Source organism: Homo sapiens, chromosome X (genome assembly GCF_000001405.40).
Source record: "Homo sapiens chromosome X, GRCh38.p14 Primary Assembly".
Lineage (NCBI taxonomy): Eukaryota > Metazoa > Chordata > Mammalia > Primates > Hominidae > Homo > Homo sapiens.
The window spans coordinates 64,975,244-65,002,895 of NC_000023.11; the positions used below are offsets into that span (position 1 = coordinate 64,975,244).

At 40.6% G+C, this 27,652-nt stretch overlaps 1 protein-coding gene across 5 annotated transcripts in view, besides 1 other annotated feature; it reads right to left on the bottom strand.

The window, feature by feature from the left end:
- ZC4H2 (zinc finger C4H2-type containing) overlaps positions 1-27,652 on the bottom strand; it is a 118,935-nt gene that overhangs the window by 59,437 nt on the left and 31,846 nt on the right. For 3 of the 5 annotated variants that reach the window (NR_045044.2, NM_001178033.3, NM_018684.4), the window contains exon 1: positions 1,082-1,207. The exons of the other annotated variants lie outside the window; for them this stretch is intronic. Coding sequence is in view for 2 of the 3 variants with exons in the window: in NM_001178033.3 (NP_001171504.1) it covers positions 1,082-1,134 (53 nt within the window). In the remaining variant the exon portion in view is untranslated. Of the gene's footprint in view, positions 1-1,081; positions 1,208-27,652 lie in introns of those variants that run through there. 5 annotated transcript variants of the gene reach the window in all.
- Positions 727-1,270: an enhancer, noted in NCBI's record as "H3K27ac hESC enhancer chrX:64195850-64196393 (GRCh37/hg19 assembly coordinates)". NCBI's record gives its function as "activates a minimal SCP1, AML or CMV promoter by ChIP-STARR-seq in primed H9 embryonic stem cells {active_cell/tissue: H9 hESC(primed)}" and the evidence as "EXISTENCE:reporter gene assay evidence [ECO:0000049][PMID:30033119]".

A 27,652-nucleotide genomic window follows, 5' to 3' on the forward strand; every position in this document is an offset into this window, starting at 1 on the left:
AAATGATAGTTCCCTTCCTTTACCTCTCCTGTAGAAAGAGAGATGCAACCCCTCAAGAAGAAGAAGAAACCAAGGTGCTTTACCTACCACCACTAATCACCATGTGTAGGTCTCATCCAGCACTCTAAGGGTTAAATCTCATGATCAAAGTCTTATTTCTTAAAGAAACACACTTGACATCTTCCACCTTGGGTTCTCAGAAAACACTCCAGGGAGAGAGCTTGACCCAGGCCACTCTCAGAGTGAGAGCAAAAGCCAAAGCAGGGGCTCACGCTGAGAAGGCGAGGTGAAGAAAGACCTTGTGCCAGCCCACACAGCCCGCCTGGCGCTATTGTGTTCTGAGCAAGGACAATATCATCGCTTTGCCAAAAGCTGCTCCAGGAGCAACCGTGTAGCGGACTCCACTTCGGCAACTCCCACTTTGCCAGCCCGCCTGTCACCTCCAGCTCCTCAGAGCAGCTGTCGCGATCCCACCATCAGCGCAGCGACCGCGTCCCCAGTCCCCATTGCTCCCATCCCCCTCCCAAGCGCGGGATAGGAAGGAAGAAAGTGGCGAGTGAGTGAAAGGAAAACGAGCGCGCGCCATTCTCCCAGCTCCGCCCGCTGAGATTCCTCTGCAACCCCCAGTTGGCAGCCCCTGGCAGCAGCCACCAGCCCCGATGCGCTAGACTTGGCTCTCAAAAGCCTTTCCCGAACTCCAGGTTCTGAAGTTGAACAAGAGACTGGAAAAAAATCCCGACTCCTAAAGAGCAAGGAGCCAAAGACACCTTGGGGCACACAAGTACTTTTAAAAAACGTGTCCATGAATGCAGAGCCCTGACCTCCACCTCGAGAAGAATAAAACTGTCTTGGTACCAAACCCGTGTTTCTTCATCTTTGCTTTCTCAGCCACATCTGGCAAGAGGTCTCTCTCTCTCTCAACTCTCCTCAGCGCCCCTCCCATCCTCACCTCTCCGGCAAGTCTGTGGTGAATGGGCCCCTTTCCAGCTCCTCTAGACAAACAGCCCAACAATAGATAATTAGCCCTCTCCCGCAACGAAGGGTTGGAGAGGGGCGGGGAGGGGGACAACGTGCCACTTACCTGATCTCTTTAATGCTTTCCAATTTGCACATGATTTCTTGCTCATCTGCCATACTTTTCACTGTCAATTTCACGTCCCGAGAGATGTACAAATACACCAGCCAAGGGATACAATAGACACAATGTAGCCACCTCCTCCGGGCTTGGGGCTATGAGCCTGTGCGGTAGGGGCTTGGAGAGGCCTGGGAGCTGTAGTCCGGAGCTTCAGGGCCAGCCAGGAAGCCCGGGGGCCTGTAGGACTACAACTCCCAGAAGGCCAAGCGAGACATGCCTGTTTCCCTTCCTGCAGCCGCACTTTAAATCAATTTGTTATAGATAATTATGTCAAAGGTTGTGAAGAGTGCAAAGGAATGGGGATATTCGTCTGGCCCGTGTGTGGGAAAATGGAGAAAAAAATATTCCTGAAGGCAATTGGAGAGATGAGAGACATACCCATTCGCTCCCTTCGGGGGCCCTCGCACCTACCCACCCGCAAAAGATTAGCGGTAGTCGCTAATTACGCCTTGGGGATGGAAAGAAACCCTGCAGGGAAAGTAGCTTTGGAGACGTTGAATGTGCTAGCTGCTGCCTGGGGACCAGTAACTTTGGCATTCAATTTAGGGTGGGGCGGGGGTGGGGAAGAGGAGGATGGGAGGAGGGAGATGCTGCAAAAGCTGGGGGAAAGGAGAGTGGGTAAGTACTTCCAGCTACTTACCCATTCAACAAACAATTACTTAAGCTCGGACTTTGCCAGTCAATGGAAGAAGTACTGTAGGAGTCACCGGGCAAGGCAGATAAATAAAAGCAAATCCTTGCCTTTGAGGAACAGAAGAGGCTGAAAATTTACCTATTAATTACAGTACAGTGTGGTGTCAAAATACAGGAATAGATAAGGTGTAACCTGTGCAGAGAAGATGTAAATAGGTCTCAAGAGTGACTAAGAATTTGTCAGACCATAGAGGAGAATGGGCTCTCCAGGTGAGGATACAATAGAGAGAGAAAGGAAAGGATGAGTGGTTCAGAGTGCCTGAAATATAGGTTTCTTATATGAGGTGTAGAGGTGGAAAAAAGAAATGGGAGATGTAGTATTTAGAAAAGGCAGGTAGGAACCAGACTATGAAATACGTTAAATGTCAGACTAAAGGGTTTGGACTTAATCCTGTAGGCAGACATTTATCTAATAAACTTTTAAATTAATTAATTTATTTATTTATGAGACAGTCTCACTCTGTCGCCCAAGCTGGCGTGTAATGGCACAGATCTCGGCCCACTGCAACCTCCTTCTCCTGGGTTCAAGCAATTCTACTGCCTCAGCCTCCCGAGTAACTGGGATTACAGGCGCCCACCCACCATGCCCGGCTAATTTTTGTATTTCTTAGTAGAGATGGAGTTTCATCATGTTGGCCAGACTGGTCTTGAACTCCTGAGCTCAAGCAATCCACCCGCCTCAGCCTCCCAAAAGTGCTGGGATTACAGGCATGAGCCACTGCGCCTGGCCCTAATAAACATTTTTTAAGTGCTTATTCTGCACCAAGTAATGTTTAATTATTTTATGTTTCAAAGCACGGTAGTGATAAGGATGGAGGAATATTTTAGAGAGGGACTCTGGAAGCAAAGTGGAGAATGATTAGAGGACATGAGACCAGGTAAGAGGCAGTTACTCAGCGTGCACAAACAGGCCTAGAGAGCTGGACGTTGGGCAAAAGGAAGATGGTGACTCACTCCCAACTAAAAGTGAGTCAGAACTCTCTCTGAGTTTGTGCTTTCTTTTATTGAGCTTCAGTTTCCTCATCTGAAAAATGTACCTAGTGAGCCCACCTCAGAGGCTTGTTGGGAGGCCTCTATGAGATCATTCCCATGATCATGCTGAATACAGGGCTTGGTATTTTGTAGGAGCTTGAGAAGTTTGTGGAACATGAATCTCATGTCATTCTGGATGTCCACAGTGATTTTAAGCATTCTCCAGGGAAGAAATTAAAGCCCTTCTCTTCTTTGGATCCAAGATGTAATAACTTTCTTAACCATAAAATTCTCCCTGGTGTCTACATTTTCCTATTGTCTTGAAGGTTGCTATCTTGTACAGCCACTAGTTGGTATTTAAAGAACATTGAGTTGGTTAGTCACAAAGCCTGTGGATCCAGAGCCAAGAACTGGCCCCAGCTCTGTCCCGTAAGGGGAGGAGGTAAGCAACAAGCCTGCGTTAAGTGCCTGACATGTACTGGCTACTGTGCTGAGTCTGATATGTACAATCTATCATTTCATCCTCACAACCACTATGAAGGGGGCAAGTAGATTCATCCCCTTTTAGAAGGAAGAAAACTGACTCAGATAGGGAAAGTTGTTTTGCCATGTCCACACAATAAGTTATAAAGCTAGAGCCTGTGCCCAGTTTGGACCAAGTTACTTGCAGATTAATGAAGAGAGTGTGTCTGGAAAAAAAAAATATATATATATAGCAACCAAAACTACAATGGGGTCCCGAGTGTATGTATCTATGTCAAACATAAAGTGGTTTATAATGCATTAATGCTGGCTTGGGGAGAAGCGGAGGGTTTGTATGGGATGTGTGGGAAGCAATTTATGAACAGCCTTTGAGATTTTAAATTTAATGTCTCTCTCTTTTTCCATTGTCCCCTTCACCTTAAGAATCCTTACCACTGACTATGTTCACACATCTGGTAAAAGTCTGGATGTGGGTATGTATCTGTTTCAATTAAATATGTTAATGGGTTTAGAGTCTGATTTGGTAATAATTTGGGAACTATCTTGTCTTTCAAGCCTCACCGAAATCCTAGTTTACAGATGAGGAAACTGAGACCAAGAGAGGCAAAGGACTTGTCTGACATCACCCTACTTGGCTGAAACAGAACCAAGACTCCTGACTCAAGGGCCTGTGCTCTTCCTATGGCCCCATGCGGCCTGTATCAAGCTGCTGCTGCTACCATGGGGCCTGAATGCCTCTGTTACTTTTCAGCCAGAAGGTGCACTCCAATATAGGGTGTCTGCAGAGGGCCAAGCATGTCCCATGCTTCCAACTATGGACATTTAAGGGAGATAGCAGTTAATCTAAGAGAAGAGGCCATGGGAAAACCTGGAGCTTGGAAGAAGGTTTGTGCTATTTGTAACAATTAAAATGTCCAAATACAGAAAGAGTAATGTGCCTCTTAGCTTCTGCTGGTTTGCTTTTGGCTCCTTGACCTCCTTGAGAACAGATGTCTCACCTGTTCCTTGCTGAATTTTAAGAATCCAGGCTAGCAGTGAGAGGAAGGAAAATGTTGTAGAGAAACAGTGGGGAAGAGAAGGAAACTATAGCCTTCTGCCCCTTCTTCTGAAGCAGCACTTAAAACAGTATCTGCAAGCCAAGGTGGTGGCTTTTCCATAGTAAGTGTTCAGTAGCTCTCAATTGATCAGAAGTTTGCAATGGCTGAAACAATATTTAAGATATGGGCTAGCAGTGAGTTCTAATGCATGATTTTATTAGAAGAACTGATTGATTTGAGGGGTTAGAAATAAAAAAAAATCTTAGTTTTATCAGGGCCAACATTATTCTTATTGCTAAGGCAATAAGGCAGGGTATGTTGGGGTTAATACCATTAAAATGCAAGAAATTAGCAAAAGGGAAGCCAGTCAGTCTCGATTATACTTTCAGGGAATAGATCAAGACTTTAAAAATGGAGGCCAGAATATTGAATTCACAGATATTTCTTTGTACTTCAACAGTGAACTAAACTAAAAGGAGGCAGAGATGCAACAACAGTCTTGGTTCCAAATTGCCTTTCAAAAAGTAGTGCAAATTACTTATTAAATTTCTCATTATATTTCTTAATCAGCATTTCTAAGAGAAAAGTGAGCCAAAAGTTTTCAGCCCAAAAATGTTTATTGTGCACCTATGATATGTCAGGAACCATCGAGGTTTCAGTGAAGATTTCATAGCAGATACGACAGACATGGGCCCTGCCCTTACCAAGCTTACCATTTAGTGAGAGAGACCAGCTATTACAAAGATCATGCATACATATATAGTTATACCTAGCAATCAGGGCTTGAAATAAGTCTAGGTTCTGTGAGCAAGACACACACACATAAGGGGAGAACCAATTTAGTCCTGAGAAGTGGGCAAGGAGTCAGGGAAAAGCTTCCTGAACAAAACTAGGCAGGATGAGAGAGGAAGGGAGGGAAACAGCAGGAGGTATCGAGGATTAATTCATGCAAACAGCCAACAAATATTTACTGAACACTTACTACATGCCAGGCACTCTCCTAGGTTCCAGGGATATATAGTGCTTTGCATGTATTAAGTTAGTTTAATCCTTGCAAAAACTTCACAGGAAGTATATATTATTATCATCCTTATTTTACAGAAGAGGAAGTTGAGGCACAGAGAAGTTAAGTAACTTGCCCAGAGTAACACAGCTAGTAAGTGGCAGAACTGAGATTCAAATTTAGAGAGTCTGCCTCCAGAAGCCATGCTCTCACCTACTATGTTCTATTAGTTACCCAAGATCCCAGTTCTTAGGAAGTTTACATTCTAGTAGGAGGAGCCAGACAATAATGACAGAAAAGAAAAAAAAATAAACATAATAATATTTGGGGGAGATAAGCCCATAAGACACTAATTGAGGATAATAGGACAGAATGATGGCAGGAGGGGGAATGTTTTAGTTAGGATGGTCAGGGAAGGCTCCTGTTCAGAGATGACATTGTAGTGGAGACATAAGGAGTTGGGCATACAATGATCTGGAGGAAGAGTGCTCCAGGCAGAACGAATAGCCGGTGCAATGGTCCTGAGTCAGAAAATGCTTAGCCTATGAAAAAAAAAAGTAGGTAGGGCTCTGGCTGATTAAGGGGAGCAGAAGTAGACTGAGGAGACAGTTTATGTCATTGAACTGTTATTCTAAAAACAGGGTCTTGTAAACCATGGTGATGAGTCTGGGTTTTATTCTAATTACAATAGGCAAACATTGAGGGTTTTAAGCAGGGGAGCAACATGATCTAGTTTTTAAACATCACTGACTGCTGTGAGAACAGATTTTATTGGGGCAAAAGTGGAAGTAGGAAAACCAGTGGGAAAACTATTACAGTTGTCCAGGAAAGAAATTATGGTGGCTTGAATTACAGTAGTAATAGTAGATATGAAGAAAAATGGGCTGATTGGGAACATATTATTGGGCACAGAACTGATATGATTAGCTCATGGATAGGATGGAGAGGTACGGAGGGCGAGATAAGGCATCTAAAATGACTCCTGGATTTTTGGCTTCAGTAATAAGGTCAGTGCCATTCACTGAAACAGGAAAGACTGGAAGAGAACCGTACGATGTTAGAGCTAGAAGGCACTCACATGTGATATATGGAAAAACTGAAGAACAGAAATGGTAATTGACCTCCCTAGGTTAGGGAGTTAGGAGCTGAGATAGGTAATCTCATTCTTCACACTCTCTCAGAAAATTTTCATGTTCTCCATCACTTCAGCCCTTCAGCTGGGGTGTTGAGGGGTGTGTTTGAAGCCTTAACTTTGAAGATTCCCCTAGGAGATGGGACTTGTGGGTGATTAGCCAGAATTTGTATCTGCTTACATAGACAGTGCTAGGTATTCTCAGGCAATGTTTCAGCTGAAATTCTTGCTGTTTTTGATGGCTTTATGTCATTGAAATTTCACTCCTCTATTCTTTCTCACCTACCCAATGTCACTGACCTAGATCCCCCAAATGCAAATTTCAGGGAACAAAGATCTGGCAGTGGAAGTAGGGGAGTCCCATTTTTCCCCTCTGCAAGTCCGAAAAACCCTAGTGTAAAAAATCCTATTATAAAAGCAGTCTAGTGTACATCTACTGCATTTTCTTAGTAAACTTTCATCCACACCCTCCCCTCTTCTTCAATTCTCACCTCTTTGAGAGTGACCAAAACTGACTGTCTAGCTCCAATGACCTTCCGTTTCTAACAGCCTCCTTTATATCACCAGAACTAAGTATGGGATTGAGTTTCCAAAAGGGCTGAGTCTTACCAGGTTCCCTGCACATCTTTCCCAGGCTGGGGTACTTTAGAACTACTCATAGGGCCCTTGTCCCCCTCACAGAGCTGTTTAATGATTAAATGAAAAGAGATAAGTTATGAGAAAGCACCTAGCACATTGGTTGAATTATAATAGGCATTGATTACAGGTCAATATCCCTCATCCTTCTCACCACTTGCCCTAATTCTTAGAGTCATTTGGAGAACCCAAATTTGGGGATAATTCAGTGAATAGAAACAGGAGAGAAGCATGAAAAAACTATAAATAAGTTGTCTTGATTTAGGCTTGAGAAGACAATGACAGAGGCTTCATTTAGAAATCTCAAAATGGACAGGGCAGCATTTGATGTGAAGGTTGTAGCCATTATTTCCCCTAAGTTTGGGGCAAAATGGCTTCATTTATAGTAGAAGCGTTAGAGGGATGATAACTTATAAAGCCACAATGACAAATAAGCAACCACAAGGAAAAGATGGACAGATTCAACTGTATAAAAATGTACAATGAAAAATGACACTCATAAAATAAAAATGAAACAGACTGGGAAAGTAAAAATAACACATAAATCTTAGTAGTACCCCACCCAGGGGTTGGTTGCATTGTAAACAATAGACCAAACCTTATGCCTATGAATGAAACATCTGGTATCTGCAAGTAAACAGATTGGGAGAGGAGTGGGAAGGCAGATGTCCTCTCCTGGGCCTTCAAAATCCCCTTGCATATATCACGTATAATTGCCCAGCTTGACTTCCCAGATAGCCCTTCCTTTCCTAGCACAGGTGGCAGTATGCATAGTGGTGAGGCACCCAGACTCTTCAGTCAGGCTGCCTGAGCTCACCTCTGGTCTCTACTATTTTTAGCTATCTGACTCAAGGGCAAATAACTTCCCCTCTATGGGTTTTGGTCTTCTCGTATGGAAAATGGAAATGATAGTAATTGTAACTAACTCTTAGGGTTGTAATTAAATTAATATACGGAACTGGCTAAAACAGCATAATAAATACTGTAGAAGTGTCTGCTATTATTATTAAGATGGATATTCTTCAATAAACTTTCTTGTTACCTCCTTGTTTTCCATCATTGGCAGCCTAGCTCCCCTACCAGACAGGTTCCTATTATCCTCTAAATCACAAGACTTGAAAACGATTGTGCTTATCTACTTGGGAATGAAAATACCAAACAAATGCATCATAGATGTGGCCAATCTGTCATAAAATTGAGGATATAACAAATTTATACATCTGACATTATTTAAAAATATGAAAATCATGTTCCCAGTCCTATAAAATGACTGTAAATTTACTATATACACTGATTACATGATCTACTCTTCCAATTAATAAGATAAATCATATATAGTGTATGTTAGCACATAAAAATGTATCTCAACTTATATCATAAACTAGATCAAAAAATAACCTGTAGCTCTACGGAATAGTATTCAAACATTTAACTTAAAAAAGTTTTGCCTTCTAAAAATTTAGATAAGCTTTTTGGGGAATAATTTGAATGATTTTGGGTTTCTTGAGGGAAAAAGAGTAATTGAAGACACAAAGGAATTCAAGGAATGTCTTCTTGACCCAACATTTCACTTCAACACGTTTATTAGTAACCTCCTTGTTTTCTTTGTTGAAATTTTAGATTTGGGGGTACATGTGCTTGTTTGTTACATGGATATTATATGCATAATGGTGGGGGTTGAGCTTCTAGCATACCCATCACCAAAATATTGGACATTGTACCCAGCAGGCAGTTTTTCAACCTGCACCTCCCTCCCATCCTCCATGGTTTTTGAGTCTCCAGAGTCGATTTTCTCCACCTTTATGTCCATGTATACCCTTTGTTTAGTTTCCACTTATAAGTGAGAACATGTGATATTCTATTTTCTGCTCCTGTGTTAGTTCACTTAGGATAATGTAATCACCCAAGGGGTTCATCTTGCTCACTTCCCAGAAAAGCCAATGCATTGAGAACAGAAGGTTTTCACAATAGAAAAAGAGTTCGATAAATGCAAAGCCAGCTACACAAGAGGACAGGAGTTTATTATTATTCGAATCAGCCTCCGTAAAAATTTAGAGGCTAGGGATTTTTAAGAACAGTTTGATGGGCAGAGGACTAGGGAATGGGGAATGCTGTTTGGTTGCATTACGGATGAATTCATAGGGAGTCAAAGCTTGTTTTCTTGCACTGAGTCAGTTCCTGGGAGTTGGGGCACAAGACCAGATGAGCCAGTTTACTTCTCTGGGTGGCCCAGCTGGTCCATCAGAATGCAGGGTCTGAAAAATACCTCAGACACCAATCTTAGGTTTTATAACAGTGATGTTATCTATAGGAGCAACTGGGGAGGCTAGCAATCTTGTGACCACTGGCTGCATGAATCCTGAGCCATTATTTCTTATCTTGTGGCTACTTTGTTAGTTTTACAAAACAGGCCTGATCCCCAAGCAAGAAGGGGATTTGTTTTGGGAAGGGGCTGTTAGCATCTTTGTTTGTTAAACTACAAACTAAATTCCTCCCATAATTACCTTGGCATATGCACAGGCATGAGCAAGGGCAACTTGGAGGTTAGAAGCAAGATGGAGTTGGCAGTTAGGTCAGATTTCTTTCACTATTAGAGTTTTCATATGTCAGATTTTCCTCACTGTCACAATGTTCACAAAGCTGGTTTCAATAATGGCCTCCAACTCCATCCACGTTGCTGCAAAGAACATGATTTTGTTCTTTTATGGCTACATAGTATTCCATGGTGTATGTATACCACATTTTCTTTATCCAATCAACTGTTGGTAGACACTTCGGTTGGTTCCATGACTTTGCTGTTGTAAATAGTGCTGCAATAAACATATGAGTACAGGGGTCTTTTTTGTTATAATGACTTCTTTTCCTTTGGATAGATACCCAATAGTGGGATTGCTGGGTTGAATGGTAGTTCTGTTTTTAGTTCTTTGAGGTATATCCATACTGTTTTCCATAGAGGTTGAACTAATTTACATTCTCATCAACAGTGTATGACCGTTCCCTTTTTTCCAACATCTGTTGTTTTTTGACTTTTTATTAAAAGCCATCTTGACTGGTATAAGATAGTATCTCAGAGTAGTTTTAATTTGCATTTCTCCGATTATTTCTGATGTTGAAAATTTCTTCATATGCTTGTTTGCTGTTTATATGTCTTCTTTTGAGAAGACATGTCCTTTGCCTGCTGTCCTAGGGGCTGGAGATCCAGAGAAATAAGAATAGTTCCTGCTTTGGGGATGCTCATAGCTTATTTGGAGATGGGCCCGTAAATAAGCAATGACAATACAATGTGCGCTGTGTTATAATGGAGGAGTGAATAGTAAACTCTGGGATAATGTAAGAGGGATTAAGAAACTCTACCAGGGAGAATCTGAAAGGGTTTCCCAGACAGGTGTTTTCAGAACTAGATCTGTTGCAGGCACCGTTAGAAACCTTGAATCAATTTTCCTATGGCAAGCAGAGGCATGCTGGTTGCTAGAGCCCACACTCCTCTAAGCCATCACATTTTGAGTAAAGGCTCACTGAACATTTCTCCTCTTGACCCTCTTACTTCCTCAGCTTATTTAACCCTATAAATGTTAGTGGGCATCAAAGCTGGAAAGGCTTCTCAGAAGACAGCTATATCCATGGTTTTTAAACTGGGTTTGGCAGAACTCTAAGATTTTAGAGTGAAGGGAAGCCACCCCTACTCCTTTTTTAACTAGAACTTAATTGGTATTATTTTCATATTTGGGGATTTTGTGGAAGATATTTTTCAATACAGTGATCTGTTGCTTAAAAAATATTTGAAAAACAGTGATTTATTCCAATTTGTCCTTATTTTAAAGACAGAAAAACAGGATAAAAGTAAGCAAGGCTTGGCCAAAGATCAAAGAAATGCAACAAGAAAAAAAGTGCTATTAAGACAAACATGCTTATCCTTTACTTGTCAAAGACAGCTTTTTGGTCTATTAGTCCTCCAGTCCCAAGCTAGATGCTCTGCCTTCCATGTTTCAAGATGTGGCCTGGTATAGCTTTATTAGCAGTGGCAAGCCAGGTCAAGCTAAAAGGGGCCAGAATCTAAGGCCAGGCATTCCCCCATCTCTCTGCTACTACATGCTGACATTGGAGTTAGTTAGTGAGGAGGGAAGACTCAGGCTCCAGGTATAAAGCTGGACTACGGTATATTAAGTGGCAAGCCATAGTTCAGGAAGCCAGTGGAGTATGACGTAAATTAGTAGGGGCATCCCAAGAGGTAGGAGATGCAGAACAAGGAGAGCTCCAAGGCAGTCCATGTTTTGAAGGTCCCAGTGGGCAGTTGGCTCCAAGATGGTGTGTCCATGGAAATAGGGGTTCCAGCTACCAGACTTCAGGTAGTCTCTAAGGTGGAAGCAATGGAGGAAGGTAGACAGATTGTCCAGTGAGAGAAAAGCCAGTCTTCATTTTAGAGGACCTGGTGACCTGGACAGCAAATTGGGGCATAAAGAACAAGGCAGGAGCCTAATGATAAAGACTGGGACAAAATGTCAATTATCTCCAAATTGACATACAAGTTTAATGGAAACTGATATCAAAATCCAGAAATATTTTCCGTAGACACAGACAAGATAATTCTTTTTTTTTTTTTTTTTTTTTTATGAGACGGAGTCTCACTCTGTCGCCCAGGCTGCAGTGCAGTGGCGCGATCTAGGCAAACTGCAAGCTCTGCCTCCCGGGTTCACGCCATTCTCTTGCCTCAGCCTCCCGAGTAGCTGGGACTACAGGCGCCCGCCACCAAGCCCGGCTAATTTTTTTGTATTTTTAGTAGAGACAGGGTTTCACTGTGTTAGCCAGGATGGTCTCAATCTCCTGACCTTGTGATCCGCCCGTCTCAGCTTCCCAAAGTGCTGGGATTACAGGTGTGAGCCACCGTGCCTGGCCGACACAGACAAGATAGTTCTAAAATTTATATAGAAAGGCAAGGGAACTGAAATAGCTAAAAACAATTTTGAAAGAGAATAAAGTAGAATAAATCATTCTACCTGATGTCAACATTTATTAGATAGCTACAGTAATCAAGGCTGTGTAGTATTGGTGGTGGAAAAGACATGGATCAATGGAATAGAATACAGGACCCAGACATAGACTCACACATATATGCCAAACTGGTTTGCTGGGTTTTTTTTTTTTTTTTCCCACAAAGATGAAAGGATGATCTTTTCAACAAATGATGGTGGAGAAAGTGAGTATCTGTTAGGAAAAAAAAATTTTACTCAAAAGACCTCATATCTTATGCAAAAATTAACTCAGAATGGATGATGGATTTAAATGTAAAATGTAAACCTATAAAACTTTTAGAAAAAAAAAGGAGAAAACCTTTTGGATCTAGGACTAAGCAAAGGATTTTTTTTTTTGGACTCATCTCAAAATTATCACCTCTGAATTCTTTTTTTTATTATTATTATACTTTAAGTTTTAGGGTACATGTGCACAACCTGCAGGTTTGTTACATATGTATACATGTGCCATGTTGGTATGCTGCACCCATTAACTCATCATTTAACATTAGGTATATCTCCTAATGCTATCCCTCCCCCCTCCCCCCACCCCACAACAGGCCCCAGGGTGTGATTTTCCCCTTCCTGTGTCGATGTGTTCTCATTGTTCAACTCCCACCTATGAGTGAGAACATGCAGTGTTTGGTTTTCTGTCCTTGCGGTAGTTTGCTCAGAATGATGGTCTCCAGCTTCATCCATGTCCCTACAAAGGACATGAACTCATCCTTTTTTATGGCTGCATAGTATTCCATGGTGCATATGTGCCACGTTTTCTTAATCCACTCTATCATTGTTGGACATTTGGGTTGGTTCCAAGTCTTTGCTATTGTGAATAGTGCCGCAATAAACATACGTGTGCATGTGTCTTTATAGCAGCATGATTTATAATCCTTTGGGTATATACCCAGTAATGTGATGGCTGGGTCAAATGGTATTTCTAGTTCTAGAACCCTGAGGAATCACCACACTGACTTCCACAATGGTTGAACTAGTTTACAGTCCCACCAACAGTGTAAAAGTGTTCCTATTTCTCCACATCTTTTCCAGCACCTGTTGTTTCCTGACTTTTTAATGATAGCCATTCTAACTGGAGTGAGATGGTATCTCATTGTGGTTTTGATTTGCATTTCTCTGATGGCCAGTGATGATGAGCAATTTTTCATGTGTCTTTTGGCTGCATAAATGTCTTCTTTTGAGAAGTGTCTGTTCATATCCTTCGCCCACTTTTTGATGGGTTTGTTTTTTTTTTCTTATAAATTTGAATTCATTGTAGATTCTGGATATTAGCCCTTGAGTAGATTGCAAAAATTTTCTCCCATTCTGTAGGTTGCCTGTTCACTCTCATGGTAGTTTCTTTTGCTGTGCAGAAGCTCTTTAGTTTAACTAGATCCCATCTGTCAATTTTGGCTTTTGTTGCCATTGCTTTTGGTGTTTTAGACATGAAGTCCTTGCCCATGCCTATGTCCTGAATGGTATTGCCTAGGTTTTCTTCTAGGGTTTTTATGGTTTTAGGTCTAACATTTAAGTCTTCAATCCATCTTGAATTAATTTTTGTATAAGGTGTAAGGAAGGGATCCAGTTTCAGCTTTATATGGCTAGCCAGTTTTCCCAGCACCATTTATTAAATAAGGAATCCTTTCCTCGTTTATTGTTTTTGTCAAGTTTGTCAAAGATCAGATAGTTGTAGATATGCGGCATTATTTCTGAGGGCTCTGTTCTGTTCCATTGATGTATATCTCTGTTTTGGTACCAGTACCATGCTGTTTTGGTTACTGTAGGCTTGTAGTATAGTTTGAAGTCAGGTAGCGTGATGCCTCCAGCTTTGTTCTTTTGGCTTAGGATTGACTTGGCAATGCGGGCTCTTCTTTGGTTCCATATGAACTTTAAAGTAGTTTTTTCCAATTCTGTGAAGAAAGTCATTGGTAGCTTGATGGGGATGGCAATGAATCTATAAATTACCTTGGGCAGTATGGCCATTTTCACGATATTGATTCTTGCTATCCATGAGCATGGAATGTTCTTCCATTTGTTTGTATCCTCTTTTATTTCATTGAGCAGTGGTTTGTAGTTCTCCTTGAAGAGGTTCTTCACATCCCTTGTAAGTTGGATTCCTAGGTATTTTATTCTCTTTGAAGCAGTTGTGAATGGGAGTTAATTTGACACCAAAAGCATAATCCATAAAAGGAAAAGCTGATAAAATGGACTTTATCAAAATTGAAATTTTTTTCTATGTGAAAGAAGATGAAAAGACAAGGTATACACTAGGAGAAAATATTTGAAAACTACATATTCAACAAAAGACTAGCATCTAAAATATATTAATAACCCTCAAAGTTCAACAGTAAAAAGTTAATACAATTTAAACAATTGTCAAAAGATATGAAGAAACATTTCACTGAAGAGGTTATACAGATGGTAACTACATGAAAATTTCTTCAACGTCATTAGCCATTTGGGAAACGCAAATTAAGACCACAATGCAATATCGCTATAACCTATCAGAAAGACTAAAATTAAAAAATGGTGACAATACCAAATGCTGGCAAAGATACAGAGAAACGGAGTCACTAATACATTGCAGGTGAGCATGCACAACGGTACAACCATTATGGACAATGGTTTGTCAGTTTTGTATTTTTAAAAAAGAAACATGCAACTACCACATGACCTAGTAATTGCAATCCTGGACATTTACCCCAGAAAAAAGTGAAAATTTATGTTTACAACAAACCTATACATATTTATAGTAGTTTTATTTATAATAGCCCAAAACTGAAAACAACCTATATGTTCTTCAGCAGGTGAATGTTTAAACAAATTGGTATATCCATACCATGGAATACTCCTCAACAATAAAGAAAACTATTGATACATCTGTGGGTGAATCTCCAGAGAATTATGCTGAGTAAAAAAATGTCAATCCCTAAAGGGATATGATTCTATTCATGTAACATTCTGGGAATGACAAAATCATAGAAATGGGAAACAGATTTGTGGTTACCAGAGGTTACAGAGGGAATGGTAGTGGGAGGGAAGTAGGTGTGGCTATAAAAGGGCAATATGAGGGTTCCTTGTGGTGGTGGAAATGTTCTGTATCTTGATTATATTAATGTCAATATCTTCTCTGTGGTATTGTACTATAGTTCTGCAAGGGGTTACTATTGGGGAAAACAGAGTACAATTTACATGAGATCTATCTGTATCATTTTTCTGCAACTGCATGTGAATCTATAATAAAAATAACAAGTTACCTAAGAAAAAATATTGTTTATCTTGATTACTGAGATTTTCAGCATTCCCTTAAAATTATGCTCAAGTCAACTACCTCCACTCACCTCACTCTAGCTTCAGCCCTGTTCCTTCTCTTTCTGTATCTCCAGGGCCTAGTGTAGACCCAGCCCTCAGTGAATTAATGCTGTACAGATGGGGAGTGAACGGCTTCCCCTCAGATGAATTATTCTCAGTCATACTATGCTCACAGAGAGAAACAATATGCCTTCTCTCCTCCTCCCCAACTTCTTTCTTTCCACTCTTGTGTTAATGATCAACTTTCAACATTTTTGAGGCTGTCTGATTTCAGTTTGGGAGCCCAAATATATCAGCAATCTTCTACCTTTTTCAGAGGCACATAGGGGCAAAGACTACACTGAAAGGATCCTAGACCAGGCATTGAAAATCCTAGTATTCAATGTAGGCTTAACAACTCATTGGATGTGGGACCTTGGACAAGGCACTTTACTTCTTGGAGCCTCGGTTTCCCATCTGCAAAAATGGGAAAATAATAATGCCTTCCTGTGAAGAAAGTATCATTACCTGGAAAATTCAGTGTAGCTGAAAGATCTGAATATTCATTTTAAATCTCCCTATCTCTGTGAAATGAAGATAAAAGAGGGAAGGTATGGGAAGATGTGATGGTGATTGTATAAGAGTTTATTTAGGCATTGTGGTGTTACATTGTCACACTTACCTCCACTAGACCTTGAAGATCATCCCAGTGGTCAATACTGGTTAAGCATAGGACTTATCAGTGGTTGAAAGGCTCAAATTTATTTCTATTTTTTAAGAACCCTGACATATTACAAAGTGGAGGGGTGCAGTGGTGCGAGCCTGTAAATCCAACTACTTGGGAGGCTGAGGCAGGAGGAGTGTTTGAACCTAGAAGTTCAAGACCAGGCTGAGAAACATAGCATCACCCTGTCTCAAAATGAAACAAACAAAACTATTCTCACAGCTTGCCAGGAGTGAAAGAAAAAAAGTAGAAACATTGGCAGTTCCTCAACAAGTTAAACATAGAATTACCCATATGACTCATTAATTCTACTCCTAGGTATATACCCAAGAGAAATAAAAACATATATCCACAGAAAAACTTGTATGTGAATGTTCATAGCAGCATTAACCTTAAGAGCCCAAAAAGTAGAAATGAACCCAAATACCCATCAATTGATGAGTGGATAAATAAGGTGTGGTCCGTCTTTACAATGAAACATTATTCATCCATAAAACAAATGAAGTATTGATCACATGCTAAAGCAAATGAACCTTGAAAATATGATGTTAAGTAAAAGTCAGACACAAAGGACTATATGTTTATGATTCCATTCATGTGAAATATACAGTATAGGCAAGTACATAGAGACAGAGAGTAAATTAATGGTTGCCAGGGGCTGCAGGGAGGAAAAAATGGGGAGTGACTTCTTAATGGGTATGAGGTATGAAAATGTTCAAGAATTAGATAGTCATGATGGTTCCAAAACACTGAAAATGTACTAAATTATACACTTAAAACATAACTGTATATTTTTATTGGTGAAATTTACGGTGAGTTATATCTTCATAAAAATGTCAAACCATGCCTTATTTCAGTGACAATATAAACGCTTCAGTCTCAACTTAAGACCTTTCATAAATGAGACATTCAGAGCAAATGAGCATTCTTGTTCACCTTCCCTGCCTGACTCCAATCTCCGACAGGCTCAGATTGAACATCCCTCAATCTATGTCAGCTACACGTCTGCTAAGATTGTAGCTGAATCCACTAATGCCCACATCCAGGCTCAAATATGCTCCAGTTTATAAGCTCATCAGCAAGAGTTATAATAACCTCTGCCCACTGCCTTGTGGGGTTCAGAATTTATTCACATTCTCAAACTTGGGTTTGGGTGATCCCTCACAATAGCTGAATTCCCCAAGCTTCCTTTATCCCAAGCATACCAAGAATTTAGTTATCCCAGGGACCAAAACTAGTCATGTTGGTACGTCATTCCCTAATTCGGACTTGCCTGCTCTGCCTCATGGTGTGCCCAGTCTTCAGGGCTAGATTTCTGCTTTTGTCCCATCTTCTGTGCTGATGGTTTACTGTGGTTGATACCGCCAAGTTCCATTCCCTCTTTTCCTCCCACACATACCAAGCACTATCAAGGCTCGTCATTCTCCAACCTGCTTTTACCGTCTGCTAACACCCTTACTTAAGACAGATCTAATCCTTGCACCTCCTGGATGCAGACTGTGTCCTGGAGCAGAATCTTCCCAAATCCCAGGTCCTACTTCCTTGGTGATTCCTGAGTATTTCACAGGAATCTGGATCCTTGGCTTCCTGACACACCTACTAGAAAGCTAAACTTAGTGATGTCACATCAGGTATTGGACCCTGGTCCTGGGCCCCTTAACTGTGCTCTCATTAGCCAACTTCTGCAAGCAAGGCTGTTGCATCCTCCACCATAGAGTTGCAAGATTTAGCAACTATACAAGATGCCCAGTTAAATTTGAATTTCAGATAAACAACAAATACTTTTTTTGTACAAGTATGTGTCGTGCAACATTTCAGACATATTAGGTTTTTTTGTTTATATAAAGTTCAAATTTAACAGGCATCTTGTATTTTATTTGACAACATTCCCCCAGTGGAGATGGCATCAGTTTAGCCACCTCTTCCCTTCAAGCTCCCTGTCTTGGTGTTATCACCCTGCCATTCGTGTGTTGTCTGATTTATTGATTTTAGATCTTAATCTCAGGTTTCCTAGTTGCTATGACCTGAGTCTTTGTGTCCTCCTAAAAAAATTATGTTAAAATCCTAACACCCAAGACGATGGTATTAGTAGCTGGGTCCTTTCTGAGGTGATTAGGTCAGTGTTCTTATAAAAGAGGCCAGAGAGAGGTTCATTCCGCCTCTGCCATGTAAAGTTACAGTGAGAAGACAGTCATCCATGAGGAAGCAGGCTCTCACTAGACATGGAATCTGCTAGTGCCTCGATCTTGGATTTCTCAGCCTCCAGAACCACAATAAGCAAATTTCTGTTGTTAATGAGGCACCCAGCTAATGGTACTTTGTTATAACAGTGCAAATGGAATAAGACTCTACTTATTGCTAAGGGTCTTCCTCTACCCTACTCCCCAAGAGCACCCCCTCCTCTTCATTTTAAACCTGCCAACTCTTTATTTCAGAATAATAAGAAGAAATGTTTGAGCACTTATGTGCAAACACTCTGCTTGGTGCTTTACCTGCAGTCTTTCATTTCATCCTCAAGGCAGTTGTTAGTTCAACTCTCGTTTTACAGATGAGGAAACTCAGATGCAAATAGGTGAAGTAAATTTGCCAAAACCACTTACTAAATGGCAGAATCAAGATCCTACTTAGGTGTATTTTCATGTGTCTAAGATAATTATTTCCCATGAAAAAGGTCTATATCAGAATTTTAAAATGTTTGTGTCTCCACTTAAAAAAATGCCTCAAGTATTTTATTTTGCAGTTATGGAAACATAACTTCACTTTTGCATGATGATTCATCATTAAATAATAAGTAACTTTCATTGAGTGATTAGTATAGCCTAGGCACTGTTAAACCTTTACAGGTATTATTAGTATGATTCTCACAACAATGCTATGAATTAGGCTCTATTATTATTCTCATTTTTAAAGCGGCAGAAACAGAGTCACAGAGAGGTAATGTAACTAGTCAAGGTCACCAAGTTCATAAGTGACACAGCAAGGGTCAAAGCCAGGCAATCTGACTACAGAGCTCATGTGTTGACCACTATGCAATGCTTTATATAAACAAGTCAAATAAAACAAGTCAAATAAAACAAGTCAAATAAAAATTATATTTATATTGTTCAAATTAGGATATTCTTAGGGATCCATGAAAAGTTTTGCTTTACATTATTCGTTTCAGGAACCCTGCACTCTTTTTTTACTTCCAATTTGTTCCTGTTGACTTTACCATTTCCAGCCTTTGAACTTCATGGTTGAAAGTCAGGTTCAGGAATTCATTTCACAATCATGAATTATTATTTGTGATGTACTTTTTGTGCTCTGCTTGGCTTTTTTATTTACTGAAGCAACATTGTGGTGTTAAAGCAACAGAATTTCAACAAATACTTATGGTAGATTCTTTAACAGTTTAAAGGTGGCCCAGTAGTAGGTGAAAATATTAGAATCTTAATCCTAGTCCCTTATTTGTCTCTCACCTTCTTCCACAAAAAGAATTTCATGCAGTTTACAGAGATACACACATTGCAAAACAAACAAACAAAAAAACAAAGAAAATGAAAGAGTAAAGAGGGACAAATGGGAAATAAAAGCATAAAGTAAGATACATACAAAAGTAGAACTAGAAAACAAAATCTTACATAACTGCTAGTGGTAGCCATAATTCTATCTCAGAGCTTCTTAACAGCCAAAGTCAGAAGGAAATTACAAAATCAGTCATGCTTTTCTAGGATTCATGGGGAAAAAAGCAAATCAGTTTCACAGAATCCCCTTGTCATTAAAAAAAAAAAAAAAAGGATTTTCTAGGTAATATCAGGAAAATGGCAGAGTAAACAACTCCATTCCCATCCCTCTACAGGAATATTTAAAAAGAAGCAGAAACTGTCAGAATCAACTTCATCAGGCTCTCAAAAAGAGTGGTTTATAGTAGCTGAGAACATGCCAAATCAAGAAAAAGGCAACTTTAAAATGGTAGGATATCTTGTGATGTTTTTACTTGTCTTTGCCCCACTGCCTCTCAAGCTTAGCAGTGGTCTTTTGTTTTGTTTTGTTGAGATGGGGTCTCACTCTGTCACTCAGGCTGGAGTGCAGTCTATGCCTCACTGCATCCTATGCCTCCTGGGCTAAAGTGATCCTCCCACCTCAGCTTCCCCAGTAGCTGGGACCACAGGCATGTGCCACCACACCTGGCTAATTTTTGTATTTTGGGTAGAGACAGGGTTTCGCCATATTGCCCAGGCTGGTCTCGAACTCCTGAGCTCAAGCCATCCACCTGCCTTGGCCTCCCAAAGTGCTGGGATTACAGGCGTGAGCCACCACATCAGGCCTTAGGTACACTTAGCTACATCTTGAAGATAGCAGCTACACTCTCAGTGTGGAACACTGGACTCTGGTTCTGGAAGAAGCATAGCAGACCTCACATGCAAACTATTTTCTAACTGTCTGGGGGCTGCCTGAAGGAATGATGCAAGGTGCTCTTTTCTGCTTTACCTACCTTGGAATCCTCTCAGGGCAGAAAACTTGTGAGCATTGCTTAAAAATATCGTAAAGCAAGGCAAATAAACAACACGAAGATGCTTGAGGCAAAAGATTAGCAATGAAATATGCAACAGGTCTGGGAGAAAAATCTGGGGGAGTTTGCTTGGGAAATCAGGGCATTCAAAGTATCTGTATATGAAATAATTTAGAGAGCCACACTTATGCCCAAGACAAGATGCATACTCAGAAAAAACCTGATAAGAGCACAGATTTCCACTGTGGGCTGATCCCTAGGCTCAGTGTTCAAAGGCTAAGATCAGGCTAAGTGATGAAGGAGCGGCCCAGCATAGAAAATTTGTAAAGACAGAAATAGGTGAATTTTTTGTTTGTTTGTTTTAGCTCTTGGAATTCAAGGAAATATGTCAAAACCATAGGTGAACACAAGCTAAGAAACAGAAACTTCAGTAACCACAGACAAGAAATACAGTATCTGCAAAAATAGGAAAAGTAATGAAACAGGCTATTACAGTGTTAAAAAAAAAACCCACCCAACTCTGAGAAAGAGAAATAATCAGATTTCCAGAGTTACCACATTATAATATCCAAATGTCCAGTTTTCAACAAAAAAGCACAAGTCACAAAAAATAAACAGGAAAAGAAAGCTTATTCAAAAAGAAAATAAACAGAAACTATCTCTGAGGAAGCAACAAAGACTTTAACACAACTGTCATAAATATGCTAAAAGAACTAAAGGAAACCATGAGCAATGAACTAAAGGAAATCAGTAAACAATGTATGAACAAAATTAAAATATTCATATAGGAATATTAACTTTAAAAAGGAACCAAACAGATTTTTAAGCTGAAAAGTACAATAACTGAAATAAAAAAAATTCACTACAGGGGTTCAGTAGAAAATTTGAGCAGGCAGAAGTCAGAATCAGCAAACCTGAAGATAGGACAACTGGAAGTACCCAGTCCTAAGAACCACAAACAGAAGATAATAGAGAAAGGTGAATAGAGCCTAAGGGACCTGTGGTACACCATTAAGTGGACCAACATACAAATTTGGGAATCCTAGAACGAAAAAAGAGAGAGAGAGAAATGGTAGAAACAATATTTCAAGAAATAATGACTGAATACTTCCAAAATTTGATGAAAGGCATGATTCTATACATCCCATAAGCTCAACAAATTCCAAATATGATAAATTCAAAGTGATACAAACTGACACATACTGTAATCAAATTGTTGAAAGCCAAAGACAAAGAGATAATCTTGAAAGCAACAAGAGAAAAGCAACTCATTCTGTATATGGGATCCTCAATAAAATTAACAGCTGATTCTCATCAGAAACCATGGAGGCCAAAAGGCAGTGGGAAAACATTTAAATTGCTAAAAGAAAAAATTGTTAATCAAGAATTTTATATTTGACAAAACTATACTTTAAGGATGATGGCACTATCAAGACACACCCAGATGAACAAAAGGTGAGGGAATTCATTAACACTGGACCACCCCTATGAGAAAACATATAGGAAGTCCTTCAGGTTGAAATAAAAGAAAACTAGGCAGTAACTCAAAACCATATGAAGAAATAAAGATTTCTGGTAAAGGTAACCAAACAGGCAAATCTAACAGCCAGTAATATCATATTTTTGGTTTCTAACACTTCTTTTTATTTTCTACATGATTTAAGAGACAAACTCGTAAAAAGAATTATAAATCTCTTATTGGTCACACAATATACATAGAAGTAATTTGTGACAACAACATAAAGTGTGGGGCAAAGATATATAGTGGCATTTATTTTTTTGAGACAAGGTCTTGACCTATTGCCCAGGATGGAGTGCAGTGGCACAATCACAGGTCATTGCAGCCTCGATCACCTAGGTGCGGGTGTTCTTCCCACCTCGGCCTTCTGAGTAGCTGGGACTACAGGCATGGCAGGACCACACCACCATGGCTGGCTAATATGTTCTTTTTTGGCAGAGATAGGGGTTTCACCATATTGCTCAGGTTAGTCTCAAACTCCAGGGTTCAAGCAATCTGCCTGGCTCAGCCTTCCAAAATACTGAGATTATAGGTGTGAGCAACCACGCCTCGCCAAGTAGCATTTTTTGTAGGCTATTAAAGTTAAATTAGTATCAATTCAAACTAAATTGTTATAAATTTAGGTTGATAAATGTAATCTACATGGTAACCATAAAATATCTAAAAGTATAAACAAGAGGCACTGAGAAGGCAATAGAAACTGTGCATGCAAAAAAGTCAACTAAACACACAGAAAAGGCAGTAATGGAGGAAATGAGGGACAAAAAAGATATAAGACATACAGAAAGCAAATAGCAAAATGGCAGAAGTAAACACAAAATATAAATAAATTAAACTCTCAATGAAAAGGCAGAGATTGGCAGAATGTATTTACAAACACGATTCAATTACATGCTGTCTACAAGAGAATTCCTTTAGATCTAAACATGCAACCATACTGAAAATGAAAAGATGGAAAATATATTCCATCCAAATAATATCCAAAAGAGAGCTGGTGTGGCTATACTAATGTCAGACAAAATAGACAAAAATACTTCTATTATAAGAGAAAAACTAGGATATTATACATTGAGAAAAAGGTCAGAAATATATTCCAATTATAAACATATCCACACCAAACAATAGAACCTCAAAACATATGAAGCAAACACTGACAGAGTGGCTAAATTTGTGGCCTAACATATCATCTATCCTCAAAAATATATGCACTTGAGAAAAATGTGTGTGCTATTGTTGTTGTGTAGTGTTCTGCACATGTTAGATCTAGTTTGTTGTGTTAAGTCCTCTATATCCTTACTTATCTTCTGTCTGGTTGTTCTATCAATTATTGAGAGTGGGATATTAAAGTCTCCAATTATTTTTATAGAATTATCTATTTTCTTCCTTCAATTTTATCAGCTTTTACTTCATATATTTTGATGATCCATCATTAAGTATATAAATTTTATAATTTTATATTGGCTATATTAAATGCTTTATTAATATATACTATTTTTCTTTGTCTCTTATAATCATTTTTTTAAATTGATTTTGTCTGATATTAGCATAACCAATCCTGATCCCTTTGAATTACTATTTTCATTTAATATGAATATTATTCCATCCTTTCATTTTTTTATTTGTGTCTTTGGATTGAAAGTGAATCTCTTGTAGACAGCATACAGTTGGATTATGTGTTTTTTTTTTTTTTTTTTTTTTTTTTTTTAATCTATTCTGCCAATCTTTGTCCTTTGATTAAAAAGTTGAATCTGTTTGCATTTAAAGTAATTACTGGGGTGGCTGGCAAGATGGCCGAGCAGGAACATCTCCGGTCTGCAGATCCCAGTGAGATCAACGCAGAAGGCGGGAGATTTCTGCATTTCCAACTGAGGTACGTGGCTCATCTCACTGGGACAGGTTAGACACTGTGTGCAGCCCACCACAGAGGGTGAGCTGAAGCAGGGTGGGGTATTGCCTCACCCAGGAAGCACAAAGGGTTGGGGAACTCACTCTTAGCCAAGGGAAGCCCTGAGGGGCTGTGCCTTGAAGAATTGTGCATTCCGGCACAGATACTATGCTTTGCCCATGATCTTCGCAACCTGCAGACCAGGAGATTCCCTTGGGTGCCTATGCCACCACGGCCCTGGATTTCAAGCACAAAGCTGGGTGGCTGTTTGGGCAGACACTGAGCTAGCTGCAAGAGCTTTCTTTTCATACCCCAGTGGCTCCTGGAATGCCAGCAAGACAGAACCATTCATTCCCCTGGAAAGGGGGCTGAAGCCAGGAAGCCAAGTGGTCTAGCTCAGCAGATCCCACTCCCATGGAGTCCAGCAAGCTAAGATCCACTGGCTTGAAATTCTCACACCAGCACAGCAGTCTGAAGTCGACCTGGGGCTCTCGAGCTTGGTAGGGGGACGGGCATCCACCATTACTGAGGCTTGAGTAGGCACTTATCCCCTCACAGTGTAAATAAATCCTCCAGCATGTTCAAACTGGGCAGAGCCCACCGCAGCTTGACAAAGCCTCCGTAGCAAGACTGCCCCTCTAGATTCCTCCTCTCTGGGCAGGGCATTTCAGAAAGAAAGGCAGCAGCCCCAGTCAGGGGCTTATAGATAAAACCCCCATCTCCCTGGGACAGAGCACCTGGGGGAAGGGGCGGTTGTGGGCACAGCTTCAGCAGATTTAAACGTTCATGCCTGCCAGCTCTGAAGAGAGCAGCACATCTCCAAGCACAGCATGTGAGCTCTGCTTAAGGGATAGACTGCTTCCTAAAGTGGGTCCCTAACCTGCATGCCTCCTGATTGGGAGAAATCTCCCAGCAGGCGCCAACAGACACCTCATAAAGGAGAGCTCCGGCTGGCATCTGGTGGGTGCCCCTCTAGGAAGAAGCTTCCAGAGGAAGGAACACACAGCAATCTTTGCTCTTCCGCAGCCTCTGCTGGTGACACCCAGGCAAACAGGGTCTGGAGTGGATCTCCAGCAAACTCCAGCAGAGGGGCCTGACTGTTAGAAGGAAAACTAACAAAAAGAAAGGAATAGCATCAACATCAACAAAAAAAGGACGTCCTGGCAGAAATCCCATCAGAAGGTCACCAACATCAAAGACCAAAGGTAGATAAATCCATGAAGATGAGGAAACACCAGCGCAAAAAGTCTGAAAATCCCAAAACCCAGGATGCCTCTTCTCCTCCAAAGAATCACAACTCCTCTTCAGCAAGGGAAACAAACCAAACAAGAATGAGTCTGATGAACTGAGAGAAGTAGGCTTCAGAAGGTGGGTAACAACAAATTCCTCCAAGCTAAAGGAGCATGTTCTAACCTAATACAAGAGAGCTAAAAACCTTGGGAAAAGGTTAGACGAATTGCTAACTAGAATAACCAGTTTAGAGAAGAACATGAATGACCTGATGGAGATGAAAAACACAGCACGAGAACTTCGTGAAACATACACAGGTATCAATAGCTGAATTGATCAGCAGAATAAAGTATATCAGAGACTGAAGATCAACTCAATGAAATAAAGCATGAAGACAAGATTAGAGAAAAAAGAATGAAAAGGAATGAATAAAGCCTCCAAGAAATATGGGGCTATGTGAAAAGACCAAACTTATATTTGATTGGTGTACCTGAAAGTGATGGGGAAAATGGAGCCAAATTGGTAAACACTCTTCAAGATATTATCTAGGAGAACTTCCCCAACCTAGCAAGACAGGCCAACATTCAACTTCCAGAAAAAAAGAGAACACCACCAAGATATTCCTTAAGAAGAGTAACCAGAAGACACATAATCATCAGATTAACCAAGGTTGAAACAAAGGAAAAAATGTTAAGGGCAGCCAGAGAGAAAGGTCAGGTTACCCACAAAGGGAAGCCCATCAGACTAACAGCAGATCTCTCTGCAGGAACCCTAGAAGCCAGAAGATTGTAGGGTTATTGGGGGCCAATATCCAACATTCTTAAAGAAAAGAATTTTCAGCCCAGAATTTCATATCCAGCCAAACTAAGCTTCATAAGCAAAAGGGAAGTAAAATCCTTTACAGACAAGCAGTGCTGAGAGATTTTGTCACTACTAGGCCTGCCTTACAAGAGATCCTGAAGGAAGCACTAAACATGGAAAGGAAAAACTGTACTAATCACTGCAAAAACATACCAAATTGTAAAGACCATCAACACTATGAAGAAACTGCATCAACTAATGGGCAAAATCACCAGCTAGCATCATAATGACAGGATCAAATTCACACATAACAATATTAACCTTAAATGTAAACGGGTTAAATGCCCCAATTAAAAGAAACAGAATGGCAAATTGGATAAAAAGTTAAGCTTATTGATGTGCGATATTCAGGAGACCCATCTTATGTGCAAAGACACACATAGGCTCAAAATAAAGAGATGGAGGAATATTTACCAAGCAAATTGAAAGCAAAAAAAAGCAGGGGTTGCAATCCTAGTCTCTGATAAAACAAATTTTAAAACAACAATTATCAAAAAGACAAAGAAGGGTGTTACATAATGGTAAAGTGATCAATAAAACTAGAAGAGCTAACTATCCTAAATATATATGCACCCAATACAGAAGCACCGAGTTTCATAAAGCAAGTTCTTAGAGACGTAAAAAGAGACTTAGACTCCCACACAATAATAGTGGGAGACTTTAACACCCCACTGTCAATATTAGACAGAGCAAAGAGCCAGATAATTAACAAGAATATTCAGGACTTGAACTCAGCTCTAGACCAAGTGGAACTAATAGACATCTATAGAATTCTCCACCCCAATTCAACAGAATATACATTCTTCTCACCAACACAACACAACACACTTATTCTAAAATTGACCACATAATTGGAAGTAAAACACTCCTGAGCAAATGCAAAAGAATGGAAATCATAACAAACAGTCCCTCAGACTGCAGTGCAATCAAATCAGAACTCAGGATTTAAAAACTCACTCAAAACTGCAAAACTGCCCCCGCCCAGCCAGCCGCCCCGTCCGGGAGGGAGGCAGGGGGTCAGCCCCCGCCCGGCCAGCCGCCCCGTCCGGGAGGGAGGCGGGGGGTCAGCCCCCGCCCGGCCAGCCGCCCCATCCGGGAGGTGGGGGGCGCCTCCGCCCAGCTGCCGCCCCATCCGGGAGGTGGGGGGCACCTCTGCCCGGCCGCCCCTTCTGGGAAGTGAGGAGCCCCTCTGCCCGGCCGCCACCCCGTCTGGGAGGTGTACCCAACAGCTCATTGAGAACGGGCCATGATGACGATGGCGGTTTTGTTGAATAGAAAAGGGGGAAATGTGGGGAAAAGATAGAGAAATCAGATTGTTGCTGTGTCTGTGTAGAAAGAAGTAGACATAGGAGACTCCATTTTGTTCTGTACTAAGAAAAATTCTTCTGCCTTGGGATGCTGTTGATCTATGACCTTACCCCCAACCCGGTGCTCTCTGAAACATGTGCTGTGTCCACTCAGGGTTAAATGGATTAAGGGCGGTGCAAGATGTGCTTTGTTAAACAGATGCTTGAAGGCAGCATGCTCGTTAAGAGTCATCACCACTCCCTAATCTC